The sequence below is a fragment of the Homo sapiens genome, chromosome 8 (genome assembly GCF_000001405.40).
Source record: "Homo sapiens chromosome 8, GRCh38.p14 Primary Assembly".
Taxonomy (NCBI): domain Eukaryota; kingdom Metazoa; phylum Chordata; class Mammalia; order Primates; family Hominidae; genus Homo; species Homo sapiens.
Window position 1 is genome coordinate 108461474 of NC_000008.11, and position 17258 is coordinate 108478731.

General features: G+C 34.1%; 1 protein-coding gene across 5 annotated transcripts in view; it reads left to right on the top strand.

Annotated features, from left to right (window-relative positions):
- The window catches only part of EMC2 (ER membrane protein complex subunit 2), a 45573-nt gene that overhangs the window by 17850 nt on the left and 10465 nt on the right, over positions 1-17258 (top strand). For 4 of the 5 annotated variants that reach the window (NR_138033.2, NM_001329495.2, NM_001329493.2 and 1 more), the window contains 4 exons: positions 8353-8438; positions 8589-8648; positions 14409-14490; positions 15309-15419. Coding sequence is in view for 4 of the 5 variants with exons in the window: in NM_001329495.2 (NP_001316424.1) it covers positions 8353-8438; positions 8589-8648; positions 14409-14490; positions 15309-15419 (339 nt within the window). In the remaining variant the exon portion in view is untranslated. Of the gene's footprint in view, positions 1-8352; positions 8439-8588; positions 8649-9380; positions 9691-14408; positions 14491-15308; positions 15420-17258 lie in introns of those variants that run through there. The other variant, NM_001329494.2, reaches the window with a different exon arrangement.

Here is a 17258-nt window from a genome sequence, read left to right on the forward strand (position 1 = left end):
GCATGGGTTTTGAGTCTGGAAGGCCTTAAAGGATGAGTGTGACTTAAATGATACAAAGACATTGTATCCCAAGTGAATGCATGAATAAGCCTTTATTAAAGTACAAGCATTATTAAAGTACAAGGCCTGCTTAGGAAAGAAGGAATAAGGTAATTAGAATGGAAGTTTCAAAATTTTTTATTTGAAAGAATGGTGGAATGGCATACCTTCTTCCCATCTTTTTTAAAGTTCTGAAATACTCTATTGAGAAAGTCATACACATGTTAAAAATTGTGGACAATATAAAATGATATGGTAAAAAAAAAATAAGTCTGTTCCTCTATCCCTGAGCTCAGGTCCTCCTTCTCTTAGGGAAGCACTTTTTTTTTATTTTGAGATGGAGTCTTGCTCTGTCGCCAGGCTGTGGCTCACTGCAACCTCCGCCTCCCGGGTTCAAGTGATTCTCCTGCCTCAGCCTCCCGGGTAGCTGGGACTACAGGCACGTGCCACCATGCCCAGCTAATTTTTGTATTTTTAGTAGAGATGGGGTTTCACCATGTTGGCCAGGATGGTCTTGATCTCTTGACCTTGTGATCTGCCTGCCTCAGCCTCTCAAAGTGCTGGGATTATAGGCATGAGCCAATGCGCCCGGCCAGGCAAGCACTGTTAATGATTTTTCTGTGTGATCTTTCAGAGATATTTTTCATGCACAAATAGGCCTGCGCGTGTGTGTGTGTGTTTGTGTGCATGTGTGTGTGTTTTGTGTGCGTGTGTGTGTATTCCTCTGACAGGGAGAATGGTTAGAAATGCAAATGTGGTATACTCTATGTAACAATATAGTTTAAAGATCATGCCATGTCATCACATCCTTTACATTATCCTGTTGAGTAGGATTGCATTGCGTGGATATATAGTCCCTTGTCTTGATGAAAAAGTTTCTTTAAGTCCCCTTGGTGAACTTGGTGAACCTTTAGGATGATTCTGATATTTCCTCTCAGAAACAGTTTTTCAGTGGATGTCATTGGTGGGATGAATCTTTAGAGGTGAAATGTCTGGGTCAGGAGGTCCATGGATTTTAAATTTTGATTGATGTTACAAATTTCCTTCTGAAAAGGCTTTTTATTCATCTGTACCCACTTTCTGTGGCATATGAGAGTGCCACTTTCCCCATATCCTGCCACGTGGTATATTATCAGCTTTTTTCTTTTAATAGTTGCCAGTCTAATTAGTTAAAAATGTTATTTTGTTATAATTTGCATTATGAGTACTGCTGAACATCTTTTAATATTGTTTTTTTTTTTTGAGAAGGAGTCTCGCTCTGTCTCCCAGGCTGGAGTGCAGTGGTGCAATCTCGGCTCATTGCAAGCTCTGTGCCGGGATTACAGGAGTGAGAACATCTTTTAATATTCTTAAACAGCTATGGGATTACAGGAGTGAGAACATCTTTTAATATTCTTAAACAGCCATTTGTATTTTTCTTTCTGAGCTGTCTCCTTTTACGCTTTTTTCAAATTTCATTTCTCATCTGATAAAGAGAGGGCAAGGTTCTGGTGCTCTGCCTAGTTAACTTTCTCCTCCTCCTCTTATTTACTTCTGAGGAAGACAGTATTTTATACCTCTGAGTTGATTCCTTATACAGAGTAGCTAGAAGTACAAAAAGAAGGTCTACATTTGTGAACAGCTTGGTAATTTTTAATTTTTATTCTTAGAGAATGGAGTATGAAGTCAAATTTTGATTAGGTAAATATCATCAGTTAGTTTTAGAGATAATGTGTCATCGAAATAGGATATATTTTGAAGGAGATGAGAAAAGTAATTTGGAGGCTGTTCTTAGGCTAGAGATTATGGGAATCTAAAACTAAGACAGGTGGAATTGGAGGGGACTGGGCTACTGTCAGCCTTTATTTTTTATGTTACTCAAGTACCAGTTTTGGCACTTTTTTTTTCGGCTTGCGTTTTGAAAATGATTGACTTTTCATACTTTGAATCTTCCTTAAGGGGAAAAAATTATATCCATTGAGTGGGAGAGTGCCCAGCATTTGGTAGGCTTCCAGCGAATACTTGTTGAAGGAATGCCTTTCAGAAAGCAGAGTAATTATTGTCTTTTAGTTGATTTCATACTTCAGAAGATCAGATTTTGTCCTGAATTGTGAACTCTGCCTATTGTGATATATCAAATATTTGAAGTTTTATTTATGAATTAGATGTAATTTCCTCTGTGCCAAGGGTAAAGATGGTTTTTTTCGGTGAGGGGAGGGTGGGGGTCGATTTTTATTCAGGCTTCTCACAGTGGTTAGAGCCACTCTATCTTCAGAACAGTCACAACACAGGAAATGCACCACTGAGACTGCCTAGAAAAGTCTGACCAGCTAAATCTTATTGCTTAAAATACACATATTCACAAAAACTGGTAAATGGTAACATGCCTCACACAGGAATGTGTTTGGATTTGCAAATATCCTGACTGGCTGTAGCACCAAACCCTCCACTAACCCCTCATTCACCTGGAACACCAGTGTCACTCACATTTCCCTGGCCCCCTAACTATTCCTTCAATTCCTTATAAAATCTCTCTCTGAGAAGGGTAGCCTCCTGTAGCAGGGGCCAGACTGTGACGTGGGAATTAAGCCCAGCTCTGCAGGTTGCATTTTCATCTTTTTCATCTTCTCACGCCTTGAGGGTAAGATGCTGCAGTGAATCCCACAGTTAACACTCAGCCAGTTCCCCCACTGTAACTGGGGAAAGAAACTTGAGAGGGTCAGAATACATCCATTTGATTAGTAGTTAACTGAAAAAGGGTTCCTTTTGGTAAAACTTTTTCACCTTTGAGTCATTTCAATGAGTTATTTGAGATTCTTTAAAAAAGGTAAAGGAAAGGCATCGGAGGGGCTTTGACACACTCTGGCCAACTCTGGCCATACGCCAGCCTGCTTGTGCCCATTGGACTCAGTGGAGGGAGGCAGGCAGGCCCTGAGCTACCTCCAGTGCCAGCAAAGCCTCCTCCTGGCAATTCTGGGTGGGGATGATGTCTGGGCCACAGCTAGTCCAAGTCTGTCATTGAAGATCCATTCAAGCTCCTGTTTGAAATTCCACCTTCTTCTGTCCCAAGTGGTTGTGGATACCCCCAGGGGTTGGTACGGAGGACCAGGTGCAGCCACAGGGGGCAGATAGGCTCAGAACATGTTTCCATTTACAGGAAACAGAACACAGGCCTCTGTGTGACTGTGGAGCAATGTGCAGATTGCAGTGATGAGTAGAGTAAAACCTCCACTTTGAGCTCAGCATCTCTGGTGAACACAGGGAACTGCAGGCAACAATGCTGCTGAATACACCCGAGTGCACAGTCAGACGTGTTCCGTAAACGGTAAATGTGTAAGACCAATTATCTTGAGAGGGTATCTTGCTCCAGAAGATGCTTTTAAAATGCCGCATTTTCCAGGCTTCTAGGTATAAACCTTGGGGGCAGGGAACCTGGATTCTCCTTTCCTTTTGCTGGTCAACTGTCCAGTTCCTTCTGGGTCCCTGAGTCTGGAGTGAGGCAGGGGGGAGGTTATAGATTGTATTTTGCCGGTAGGCCTTAATCCTTTAATCCTTTTCTAGGTAGTATCTCTTCCCCAGGTAGCCTATTTAAAATAAAAAAATGTATGTCTTTCAGAAAAAATTGCTAGCTAGCCCTATTCTGAGTAATATTATAGAAGGCATGTAGCCAGTTGGATGAAGATTTATTCATGGTCTTTAAAAGTTTGAAACAGATTATATAGGTTTCCGTTTATTGTTTGGCACTAGTGTATATATATCTTTAGTTGGGAAAATCTTACAGGAGCATGACTCTTCCAATTCTAGTCTTCATTCAGGGTCTAGCTGTCCTGTAGCCACCTTCCCTTTGATTGTTTTAGTAAACATCACAATAACCTTTATGCTCACTCCAAAGTTTAAACAATACTGTACTTTTTAGTTGTTCTTTCTCAATTTTATTTATATTTAACACATGTCACTTAAAAGAATGTGAATTCTCTGAAGCCAGGGATTGAACCTTATGTATTCGATGCTCTTTGAAGAAAATAGAATAGGATCTATGTTGTTGGCCAGTTGATTTACTTTTGAATAATGGAGTAAATTGTTTGTGGTTCGTGGTATTCTTTTAGTAGCGTGTTTTTCACTATCATACATGGGTTCTTCAGAACTATTGTTGCATTTCTTAATGCCTCCAGATTGTTTATTCAGAACATCGATTAAGGCTGCAGACAAATTATATGAATTGATATTGGCTAAAAATCTTCTAAACTTTGTGAGGTCAAAAAATGTAATTATTAGCATTTATTAAGGGATGATATAATTTGTTTATTGAGCTGTGATTTTGTTAATTTTTAAAAAACATTTAAGTGAAGCATGTTCAGTTAAAAGAACAACTTATATGGTCATCCAGATTTCTACTTTACAACTGAGAAAAAGCTGCAGCTTTCTACAGAACAGAGTATAAATATGAGGAAAATGGTGAAAGGGAGTGATAGAATTGAAGAAAATGATGATGATGTGATAATGAAGAAAGGAAATGTTTATCAGATATTTACTATGGACCATCACTGAGCTAAACACTTTACATATATTATCCCATTAATTGTCATCATAATCCTTTCAGATATTGTCTTTATTCTATAGGCATACAAGGTCATAGAGAAGTTAAGTGACTTGCCCAAGATCTTACAGTTAGTAAGAAATTCTGGATAGGTACTTTGATTTCAGAAATTAAGGCTCTTTATCATGAGGAAAGAAGCAATGGTAGTAAATGGGATTGAGAGTAGGTAGTTAATACACGTGACAACCAGCTGTTACCCCTACAGAAATTTTATTATTTAAATTTAGTCAGTTAACGAGACTGTACTTGCTGCTGTTGAAGAGTATGTGAAGACTAATAACTTGTTTTTATTTTTAAAAATCTAAGTATAATTTTTATTTTATAGAATATTATGCTAAGGAAGCTATGATAGAATTTTTTTTTTTTTTTTTTTTTTTTTTTTGAGACAGGATCTCGCTCTGTTGCCCAGGCTGGATTGCAGTGAGGCAATTATAGCTCACTGTAACCTCTGACTCCTGGGCTCAAGCGATCTCCCACCTCAGCTTCCTGATTAGCTAGTACTACAGGCGTGTACCACCACACCCAAGTAATCTTTTAAAATTTTTCGTAGAGATAACATTTTGCTGTGTTGTCCAGGTTGTTCTGAAACTCCTGGGTTCAGATGATCCTCCCGCTTTGGCCTTCCAAAGTGTTGGGATTACAGGCATGAACCACTGCACCTGGCCAAAATTGGTCTTTTTTACAAGCCTTTTTTGTGTGCCCTAAATGAGACCCAGAAGCCACAAGAAGCCTTGTTGAACCTCATTCTGGTTGCTTGATAATCATTCAAAACCTAGGGTTTTGTGTGGCTTTTGGGAGATAAGCTGCTGGACTCTTTATTCACAGTTAGACATTATATGAATAAGGAGTTGGACAGCTGAGTATTAAGTGTCCAGAGAGCAAGAGACTATGGCAAAAAAGAGACATGAACAGATTCAGGAGTCCCAGGATTTGCAATGTAAGTCTGGGCTTTGTTTTTTGTCTATGTAAAATGAAGAGATGTAATTATCACTGCCTGCTCCTCAGTTCTTTCCAATTGTAAAATTTGTGATGTATTCATTTATTCTGCAGATAGCTACCGATCTGCAGTAGATACTTCCTTCAGTGTCCAGTACTGTTTGGTATGAATGCGTGGAAACTAAGATGTGCGTTTCTATTTTTATCTTAGTTTTTTGAACCAGTGTTTTTGTTATTATAATTGGTTATTTTATGTATGATACCTTGTATATTGTTTAAAATTTTAGATATGCTTTGAATTATGTGGCAAAACTTTAAGACTTTAAGTGGCTTTTTTTTTTTGAGACCGAGTCTCGCTCTGTCGCCCAGGCTGGAGTGCAGTGGCGCAGTCTCAGCTCACTGCAACCTCCACCTCCCGGGTTCAGTTGATTCTCCTGCCTCAGCCTCCCAAGTAGTTGGGATTACAGGTGCACACCACCACGCTCAGCTAATTTTTTTGTTTGATTTGTGGCATTTGTATGCAATATTTTCTTTTTTAAAAATGTCTATTTATTTTTATTTTTGTAGAGACAGGGTCTCACTATGTTGCCCAGGCTGGTCTCTCACTCCTGGGCTCAAGTGATCTTCCCACCTCAGCCTCCCAAAGTGCTGAGATTACAGGCATGCACCACTGCTCCCAGGTGAATCCAACTGTTTTCAACAAGTTTTCACTGCTTACAGTATCTCATCTCTGCTGTTGCAAATCCTGTAAGGATTGGGACAAGATATAAATATCAAATAAAGCAAGTCTGTGCCAGTCCTTTAAAGATTGCTTAGTTAGAATTTTGTGGCAAGGTTTAACACGTAAACATTAAGTCTAGAACCAAATGTTAAAGAAAGGAAGATAACATTTATTTAATATTATTATATGCTGTGTTAGTTGCTTTATATTGATGCTTGAAGATAGATGGTATTACTGAGGTTTGTAGAGGTTAAAACTAGTAAGTGATAAGAGTTGGGATTCAGTTTCTTGTCTTTTGGATTTCAAAACAGACATTATGCTCTGTATATTGTCTATGGAAGAAGTAATGTCATGAAAAATGAAAGATTAAATTATGTTTCAGATTTTGGTGAAATCAGATATTAAATGGCCGAAAGTTTCCTGATTATATGTTAATTTATCCCTCATCTATTTGGAGGACTAGGGACAATGCTCCCATTTTAAGTCTAAAATTCTTAATGGCTTTAGGGTTTGAGTTACTTTCAGAGCTTTACTTTTACTTTTCTTCTGAGTTCTTGAGACTTTTAAAACTTTGCATTTATTGTGGCACATTTTTGTTTTACTTAGTAAACTTATTTTAAAAATATTTGCTTGTGCCTACTATGTGACAGGCATTGTGCTAAAGGCCTTTGCCATGACCTGATTAATTAAGGATATAGATTCTTTTTTTATTTTTTATTTTTTTTACTCTCAGGATATGCTTAAGGATATATATTATTAAAACATCATTTTTTAATTACCCAAAATATTATAAACATTGCTCTGACCCTTATTTATTAGTCTCTTGATTTCTCTAAACTTTCACTTTCATTTCTTCAGAGCCAAATCACTCTCTTACCACCCCGTAATGAGTAGCTCTTGATACTGTAAAGAGACCACATCCATTTTACTTCTGTCTGCATCTTGTGGAATATTATATCAACAATAAGAAATTTTATTCATAATTAATAAGTTTAGCTTGGCCTCAGTTATAGTATGGTTTATTGTTTATCCTTCTGTATTTGAAGCAAACATAAATAGAGAGGACGTAAATTTAATAATTTATACAGTATGCTCCAGTCCCTGACTGTTTACTTCAGCCAGTACTGCTTTCTCCTAGGCCTTTGCTCATGTGTTCTTCCCACTATGCAGTTTCCATAAATAACTTCCTGTTTTGTTTTTTAATGTCTACTTACTCTTTGTTTCAGTACACGTATCATATGTGGGACCGTCTTTGCTTTCTGTCTTTCCAGTTCGTCCACTCTGACACAGCATGTGTCAGAATCTCTTCCTTATTTTCATAACACCCTAGATATCCCTGTCATTGCTCTTACTGCATTAACTTTTTTATTTGATACGTTTTTGTCATGAGAATGAGCTTCTGCAAGGAATTATCATTTCTTTTTTATCTTTATATTTTCATTGTGTAGCACAATATTGGCAAACAGTAGAAGTCTGGTACATATTTGATGAATGCACAATAAATGGCATTGATTTTTATGTTTATCATTTTAAAAACTTTAGAATACAGCTTCTAATTGTTTTGCTTATCATACAATATTTATTTCAGGACTGTATTATTCTTGTGAAAGACTCATAGGTAGATTTTCTCTTAAAATTGTGAAAAAGTTGTCAGAAGACATATTTATATAATGATATTCAAAGGCCATGCCATGGTGAGATTTTTTTTCCCCTAATCTCCACTGTTCCTCCCCCTCTTAGGATACAGATCTTATGAATGAGACAGAGTAAAGGGCTTTAAGTTGGATAAAGATTAAGATTCCCTGCTGGTTAATAATTATCAGAATCTGGATGATTATTTATTTGGATGAAACGATGCATACATTGTGTGCATCAAAAGTAAAGCATATGTGATTGTTAGAGGAATGTTTGAATTCCCCAGTGGGATGTCATGGGGTATGTTTATAAACTCCCACTAAGCAGTAGTTCTACAATGGAATTTCTCTGGCATTGAGATAATAATTTGCACAGTCAAATTACCTTCTTTACAAAACCCCAAGGAATCATAAGGGCCTAATCCTTTATTAATGTCAACCCACAGGCTGCAAGAAAGCGTAAGATTGCCATTCGAAAAGCCCAGGGGAAAAATGTGGAGGCCATTCGGGAGCTGAATGAGTATCTGGAACAGTGAGTATTTTACAAGAGGATTGTGTTTTGTTATTCTGATAAATCTTTTTTAATTAAAATGGAATTTGCATTTGATTTTCCTGTTTGTTTTCATGCTGTTCATTTACAGAATATCTACACACTTACTTTTTTTTCTTTTCCTCTCACCAGATTTGTTGGAGACCAAGAAGCCTGGCATGAACTTGCAGAACTTTACATCAATGAACATGAGTAAGTTATTAAACACACAACATTTTGTTGAGTGCAGTTTTCATCACTGTAAGTTCAGAAAGCACTGTGGTTTCCAAAGGATTGGTGAGAGGGTGTGAATCATGTCATTTGAAATGAGAAACAGAACAAATCAACAATTAAATGAAAAAGAACAAATCAGTAATTCACTGGTCATAATAAGTGAATAGCTTTAACTAGGTCATTTGTGTTTTGCCAAATTGTTTATGTTTAGGAAATAAGTTTTTCTTTCAAATATAGATGGCATTCTTTGGAAATAAAAAGGCCTGCATTTGCTAAGCTAAGTTTATTTTTGGTAAATCAAAATTGTGAATTTTTAGAGTTCAGATTGTTCTTATATACAAAGAGTATTATACTCCCTGCTGTTTAAAAATTCTGTCAATTGTATGCATGTATTAGCCTTAGTACTAAGAGAATCAACTCTTCCAAAGTAGAAGCATTCTGTTGCCTGGGTAAAAAACTGAGAATAATCAAGAATGTTGAATGCTCTAGGATCTTGCTTATTGGATGTTTAATGTTTTTGTTAGCTTTTTTATTGCTGTAGTGACAGGAGGAAATCCCAGTGTGAGAGGATTAGTCCAGAGTCTTAGTGCAAGTTTTCTAATATTACAGCATTAATGCTAACCTCCATCTAGAGGCGTGTTTTTTATTTTTTTTCTTAGTTCTTCTAAATCTGAAGTATATGACATTGTTTCTTTTCCTTCTTTTTGACAGAATAGAATCAGATTCTCATGCGCATTTTCTTGTGCATGAATATTTAACCTTGTTCTCATACTACAAACAACTGATGAGAAACAGAATGAAGACATTTGTCTATTGTCTGTGGTCTATATATATAATGTGATCTAGAGGATTGAGGTAGTCTATTTGCATAAGTCTAAGGAAAGTGGGAGCTAAAATAAAAGTAATAGCTGTAATTTAATGAATGTATACTATATTCTAGGAACTGTTTTTCAAGTTCTCTGCTATACTCTGAAACAGATATTCTGGTTTTGATTAGGAAATTATTTCCTGAATCACATTCAGTATAGATGATATGCTTGTATGTACACATATGTAAACATACTCATGATTTCTTACACATGTGAAACAGTATATAATACTTATATTTAAATACATGAAATTGAATTTTTAGAGTATAGTAAAAATAATTAGCATTAATTTTATTTTGTTTCTAAAACAGGTGACAGTCATTTAACATTTTTTGTACTTTCTAAAGATTTTCTGACTAAAAGCATTTTAAAACATTTCAAATCAACAAGGAAATTTTTTTTTTCAAGTTAAAGGAATACCTAATGCAGAAAATTTGAGAAACACAGTAAAGCATAAAGACCAAGACAAAAATTACATGTAATTCCAGCATCCTAAGTTAACTATAGTTTGTTTGGTTTTTGTCCTTCCTTATCTTTTAAAATAAAAGCCCAAAATAAAATTATCTTCCGTAGTTTATACTTTCCCTTAGTTATATTTTGTTCAAAAATTTCTTGTCACTGTAACAATCTACAGTGTGTTTTGAATGGCTTTATATTATTTCATCTTACTAATTTACCCTAGTATTTTTAACGAGTTTCCTAGGGAGATATAAAGGTTGTTTTATATTTTTATATATAATGCTGTAGTGATCATTTTTATTTTGTTTCCTTGGGTTAAATTCTTTGAAGTAAAATTGCTTGATTAAATAAGATGTACATTTTCTGTGGTTTTGATAAATAGTTCCTGATTGTTCCCTAGAATGGTAACATCAATTTACTTGCACACCAGCATTTACTAGAGTCCCTCTTTAACAACACTGGATACTATGATTCTTTTTTAATCTTTACAAGTTTGATAGGTGAAATTGGTTCTACCTTTTTAGTTCATTTTTACGAGCTCTTTTTATAAAGGAGAGCAACCATTTGTCAAAAGTATATCCTTGTTATATGCTTTTTAAATACTGACTTCTTAAAATTATAGAAACTTTACATTTTTAGAAAATCAGATTCATCAATTTTTAACATTATCATGTCTGCTGTCCTTTAATAGCTTAAAAATATATCACCTTTTCCCCCTACTTCATTTGCAATTTTATTTTTTTGCATGTATTTCTAATATTTATTTCATCATCAAATTTAGGTTATACCTTATTTTTAACCTACCATTAAATTTACTTATTTTTTTCACCATGTGGTACCACCTTCAGTTTTGCTTTGTTTGGAATCTAAAGAGTTTATTGAAACAGAGGTGAATGTACACTTAAGAGAAATGAACTGAGAAATCTCAAAAAATGAAGATTTACAAAGATGTAGGAGCACCTAAAAATATTTTTTTAGAGAAAATGATAATTATGGTCAGCCTACCCTTTTATCTAGTATCACAAAACTCTTTTTGGTCTTAAAGCTAGTTAGTTACAAAATGACCATTTTTTTTTTCTAATTGAACACTTAGAAGGAATATTTATGTTTAGGTGACTGGAAATGCATATCTACAGGTTTTTTTGAAACTGTGAAAATTACAATCAGTTCACTTGATTCATTTGACATGTTTGAGCAAGTCATTATAGGAGGCAGGAATTTTTTGATGGAATGTTAAATTATCGTAGGATATCAGTTTTAGCACCAGTCTTGGGGACACAGTGGCAAAAACGTAGCAGTTTCGAAAATGTCAGATATATTTAACATTCGATATTCCTTTCTGCATATGAACAGTTGTAAGCTTTTTTAAGTATAATAGGTCGCAGGCAGCTTTGGTAGCCTATATCTAGAACTATTTTTTTTCTTTAAGAGACAGAGTCTACAACATTTCCCAGGCTAGACTTGAGCTCCTGGGCTAAAGTACTCTTCCCACCTCAGCCTTTTGTGTAGCTGGCACTACAGGTGTGTCACTGTGCCCAGCTCTGGAATTTTTAAACTCCAAATAAATATCTATAGTATAATTTTCATATAGCCCTATTTAATGTTTCTATAGAGAGAAAAAGGGATATAGAATTGTGCCATGTAACCTTTTTATATTTTTAAGTTACTTTTATAAGTTTGTTTCTGATTTATAGTTTGTTTTTAGTTATTCCAGGGATATATGTTACATCCATTGACCATATTGAGACACTTGTTCTAAAGTTTTAAAACTACAGTTAATTTTTTTGTGTCAGCACTACCAATATGTATTATAGGTTAAGTATCCATAACCTGAAAATCTGAAATCCACAATACTCCAAAATCTGAAACTTTGAGTGCCAACATGATGCTCAAAGGAAATGCTCATTGGAGCATTTTGGATTTGGGATTTTTGCGTTAGGGATGTTCAACCAGTAAGAATGCAGATATTTTAAAATCTGAAAACTTCTGAAATCTGAAACATTTCTGGTCCCAAGCATTTTGGTTAAGGGATACCCAACCTTTGTAAGCAAAAATACATTCACATTATGAAAGACAAATTTTTTTACTTCATTTGTTATTGAAACTAGATACTATACAGCAAGGAACAGTTAGTATTATACATTAATTATGATTGTGATTATAGTTCCTTTTCATAAGTCCAGCCTTTTAAAATTCCATATCAACGGAATTACCACAATTCTTTAAGGAAAAATTGTGATGTTGGTAAAGTAACACACAGTACCAAATACTGTAACCTTTAGTTATATATACTTTTGTAAGGAAGAGAAGAAAACTTTATTTAGTTCTAGTACTGACTCTAATATTGTAATAACAATTGTTATTCTGTTTTAAGTAGATTCAAATTATTTTTACTTCTCTATTCTTAGTCTTGTTGAGTCACTGTGTGTAATGAATTAACTTCTCTATGCACCTAGAATAGTACTGGCTATGTATTATCCCTGACAAGACTGAGGAAATAGTCACTTTCTGCGTGGCCTAACAATGGCCTAGAAAAGCTGGACTAGACCATCTGTTGAGCTCCTTCTAGCTCTAATTTTATTTAATTCTATATTTTATCCACAAAATTAGTTTGATACTGTACTTTATAAAATTGGGGGAAGGAGTCCTTTTCTCATATGTGATGCTAATTGATTTTTGAGAAAATATCTTGGTATTCATTTTACCCTAAGAGCTGCTACTACCTGCCCATTTTATCTTGCTTTATGCACCAGTGTCACAGTTGTGCTCAACCCATTTAAATGTCTAAGAACTTTTATTCTTAGTCTCAATATGAATTTTTGGCATCATACTATTAATAATTAAAGGAACACATTTAGAAGAGAACTGTCTTTTGATAAAGTGTTTAAGGTAGAGACAAATTTTCCCTTTTCTTTTCGAGTGATAAATATATATTAGGTAGGTAGTCATAACACATTTGTTTTAGACATTTATTCAATCATTTGTTCAGTCTTATTAAATACCTATCATGTGTCAAGAACCAATGCTAGGTTTTGAATTTAAAAATGGAAAGGGCTAAATAGCTGCATGATCTTGGATGAGAGTACACACACACACACACACACACATACATATATATATGTGGTCCTTCATAAATCTAAAATGCTGTAATTATTAGGTAATCTGCAGGGTGTATTTTTTTTCCTCAGTCCCTTTGGGTGTGACTGCTGTACACATTTTCATGTTACCATTGACATCTTCAGTTTTTCAATGTGATGTGTAATGCATATAAGCAGCATATGTAGTGGTTGAAGAGTACAGGCTGTCTGGAGTGGCACAGCCTGGGATTCAGTTTACATCTCTGTGCCTCAGTATTCTCAGCTCTAGCATGTTGATAATAATTTCCTTCTTCCTAGGGTTTTGGTAGGATTAAATGAGTTAATACATGTAACACATTTAGAACAATGCATGACACGTAATAAGCATTTAGTAAAAGCTATTATTAGTATACATGTGTGAAACAGGAAAATAATTTTTAAAAGTATATCAGGCAGTAGTGTAAAGGTAGATCCCTTTGTATACTGGTAAATGCCAAAAATAACTTTAGGTAGCCTCTTTTTGTTGGGTAGTGTCATCACTTCCTCACTGGGAAGAAATCTTGTAACACCTGTGTTCATTAGAATTTCCTGTAGATAGTGAGGATAGTCACATGGCATTAAACGTTTAAAATATATTTAGTGAATTACAGTCACATGCTTTAAAATGTTTTTCCAGAGCTCTTTCTGGCAGTTCTCTTTCCTTAGGTTTTCAGCAAGATTTTTGTTTATTCTACCACAAGATTAAATAATAGTACAGTATATATCAAAACCAACTTGATCTGTTTTTCATGGGCTTAGAAATTTATAACTTCATTATAATTTGGTATTTGACAGTGAACTTAAGTAATGAGAGAAATCTTTGTAATAGAATATGTTGGTAAATATATGCCTGTGAAGAATTTTTAGTGAGTAGAGAATATTTAATAAAATGTTTATTTTCTCCTTACACATTAGCTGTTTGAATATTTTTTTAAATGATCAGTCAACTTCCAGAAGTTGTTTTATATACAGCTTGATCCAAGGTCTTGAAGCCCTTCTTATTAGTAGTGATGGGATGTAGTAGGAGTGACCCAGTTTTTGAAATGTAGTATCTATTGATTGTTTGCAGGCTGCTTTAAGATTTAAGCCTGTGTTTATTAATTTCATGATAAAATTTAATGTCATTGATATTTATGAATTTCAGATGACAAATACTTTATTAATAAAGCTATGTAAATTATATTGGGAATAAATTGTTTAACATGACTAAAGTTGTTTTTAAATTATTTCAAGGTTTAACTAAGATAAAAATTTGTGACTTTAAAAATTAATTTCTCCTCTTGATGTGTTTTTAGCTATGCAAAAGCAGCCTTTTGTTTAGAGGAACTAATGATGACTAATCCACACAACCACTTATACTGTCAGCAGTATGCTGAAGTAAGTGTTTTCAGAACAATGGCATATAATTTTATTTTGGTTACTATTCGGTGTTATTATGGAACTAAGAATATTTCCTTGATGTTAAGCAAGTATATAAATATTTAAAACATCTGATGAGCATTGAATTGTGGGAATAAAAGTTTAAAATTTTTAACATTGCAGTGGTAATACTGACTTAAGACATACTTAAAACAGTGAAATTCCTTGTATTTTTATATTTGTATACTATTTTCTTTCCTAATTATAAGTTATATCACATTTGTCACCACTTAATGGCTTGTGAGACATTTATAGTGATTATGATTGTTAAATCCATATTCTGGGAAATTTGTATTAAAGCCAATTGGGACATAAGTATTTATTTAATTTGCATATTATTAAGAATAGCAGTACAACTGAATGCTATAAGGCTAGAAGGACTTCATTATTAAAGAATGTCCATGCAGATTATAAAAGGACAATTCAATATTTAAGTCCACATTTATAATGCCAGTAATAGAAAATACAATGTGAGGTGAAGCATTTGCGAGGCAGCTGAAATAGAAATTATTCTGGCTTTTTATTGCGGCAGCATTTTTGTTTTAGAAACTACTCAGTCATCTCAATGTTCATAGAATAGAATAGCTTTTTTGGGGAAGGTTATGTTTGAAATTTTAGATTAGCTTTAAAAACCTTTAGGTGAATTCTTTTAACATCTTGTATTTGTTTACAGAGAATATCTGTTTCGATTACTGAATGCCTATGGTATGATGAAACCATGCTATATTTCAAAGTAGTAAAATAAACAGTTTTCAGCACTTTGCAATTTTTAACAGGTTAAGTATACCCAAGGTGGACTTGAAAACCTCGAACTTTCAAGAAAGTATTTTGCACAGGCATTGAAACTGAACAACAGAAATATGAGAGCTTTGTTTGGACTTTATATGGTGAGTTGAGGTGCATGTTTAATGTTATTTTTAAAAATCTGTCACTTAAAATCCATTTAACTATCCCCTTCAATCACTCCTCTCCTGTTTTTTGTATTTTATTGATAAGCATGTTTTTTTCTGTAATTAATTCTGAGCAATAGCTTGTGAGCCAGTTTTCTTTTTGAATGTTAACACAGCCTAGCTGTTTGACATTCTTTTTTTGTAAACTATCTTTTATATCAGAATTGAAATCTGCCCTTATAAAATTAAATAGTGACAGATAGGAAGAAAACATGATTTCTTGTTTTGATATTCTTGGGTTTATGCCCAACATTATTGTATTTCTTCCCTAAATTATAGTTGTATGAGGTATTTTTAAACAGTGCCAATAAAATACATTAGAAATCAAATCCCTAATACATCAAATTAAAACATTTTTTATGGTGTAGAAAAACAGTTTGGAAATTGTGGGAAGTATGTAATGACCTATTGTTTAGGTATGCCAAATGCTGAGCTTAGAAAAGTCAATTAATAAGAGCTGTGGGAAATAGAGGAATAATCTGCTGACCTTTAAAACATATATATAAAGTGAGCACCTCCCTACAATAAGAAACGCTGGGAGAAATAAACTTTAATATTTTATTTATCCTGTTCCTTTGACTTCTTGATGAGTGTCTTCTTGTTGCAGCTCAGTGAAAAGGAACTGAGTGAAGAAATGGAAATAGGAAGAAACAAAAATGAAACAATTTTTAAAAAGGAATGGCAAAATATGGTTAGAAGGTGGTTCAAATGAATTTCAAGAAAATTTTCCTGGATTTTAGCAAAGCCAATTGCAATGGCTTGAAAATACGCTATAGTAGAAGTATCTCTGTATCAAATAAATACTAATTTTAAAAACTAATATACAACAAATTAATAATAGCTTATACATGGCACTTCATGTGCTGGGCATTGTTCTGAGCTCTGTTTTTTATTTTAAATCAATAAATCCGCACATCAACTGTTTGAGTAGGTGCTCTCAATACTATCCTCAGGTGGTGAAACTGAGACACAGATTTAATTAATTTGCCCAAAGATGGGCACAGAGCTCCTAAATGATCGAGTTGGGTTTCCAGCCCAGGAAGTTAACTCCAGAGTTTTTCTCGTAACCACTGCATCTGCTAAAATTCATAAGAAGAAGGTAACATTAAAGTCATAGAGGTATAAAAATCAGATTTGGGGATATAGATTCTTCACTGGCAGAGAGGGAGACATAGGTGAAAGAGCCTATAGCACAGGCTGGCATAAAACAAAGGCTTAACCTTTTTTTGAATCACATGGTCATATTCTTTTAAGAGTAAAATATATTTAAGAATAGGAATCAAGTTATATCTTACTCTTCACAGTAATATATACATTTAATAATTAGCATATGATTTTGGGGTTTTATGGATTCTTTCACAGATCCCAGATTAAGAACCGCTCATTTAAATACATTTTTAAAAAGGAGAGGGTGGATCAAATTGCAGGGACTAATTAGTTCTCTGAAACACAGTTTGAAAACTCATGGTATAGTGAAAAGAGAAATGGATTAGAGATAAGGATCTTCTTTATTTCGAAGACCCATTATTTTGCTTTGGTCAAGTTAAATCTCTCTTATTGGACTTAAATTTCTTTAACCTATTAATGTAGGATGTCAGGCTAAATTATTTTTGAGTTTCCTTTTTCTATAAATATTCAATAATTCTATGATTCTGACATAGCAAGTTATGTAATTCAGTAATAAGAAATAACACCAGTAATATCCTACAGTGGTAAAGTGCTTTTGGTTTATAAAGTGTTCTTCTAGAGCTTCTTTATTTAAATGATATGGAATTT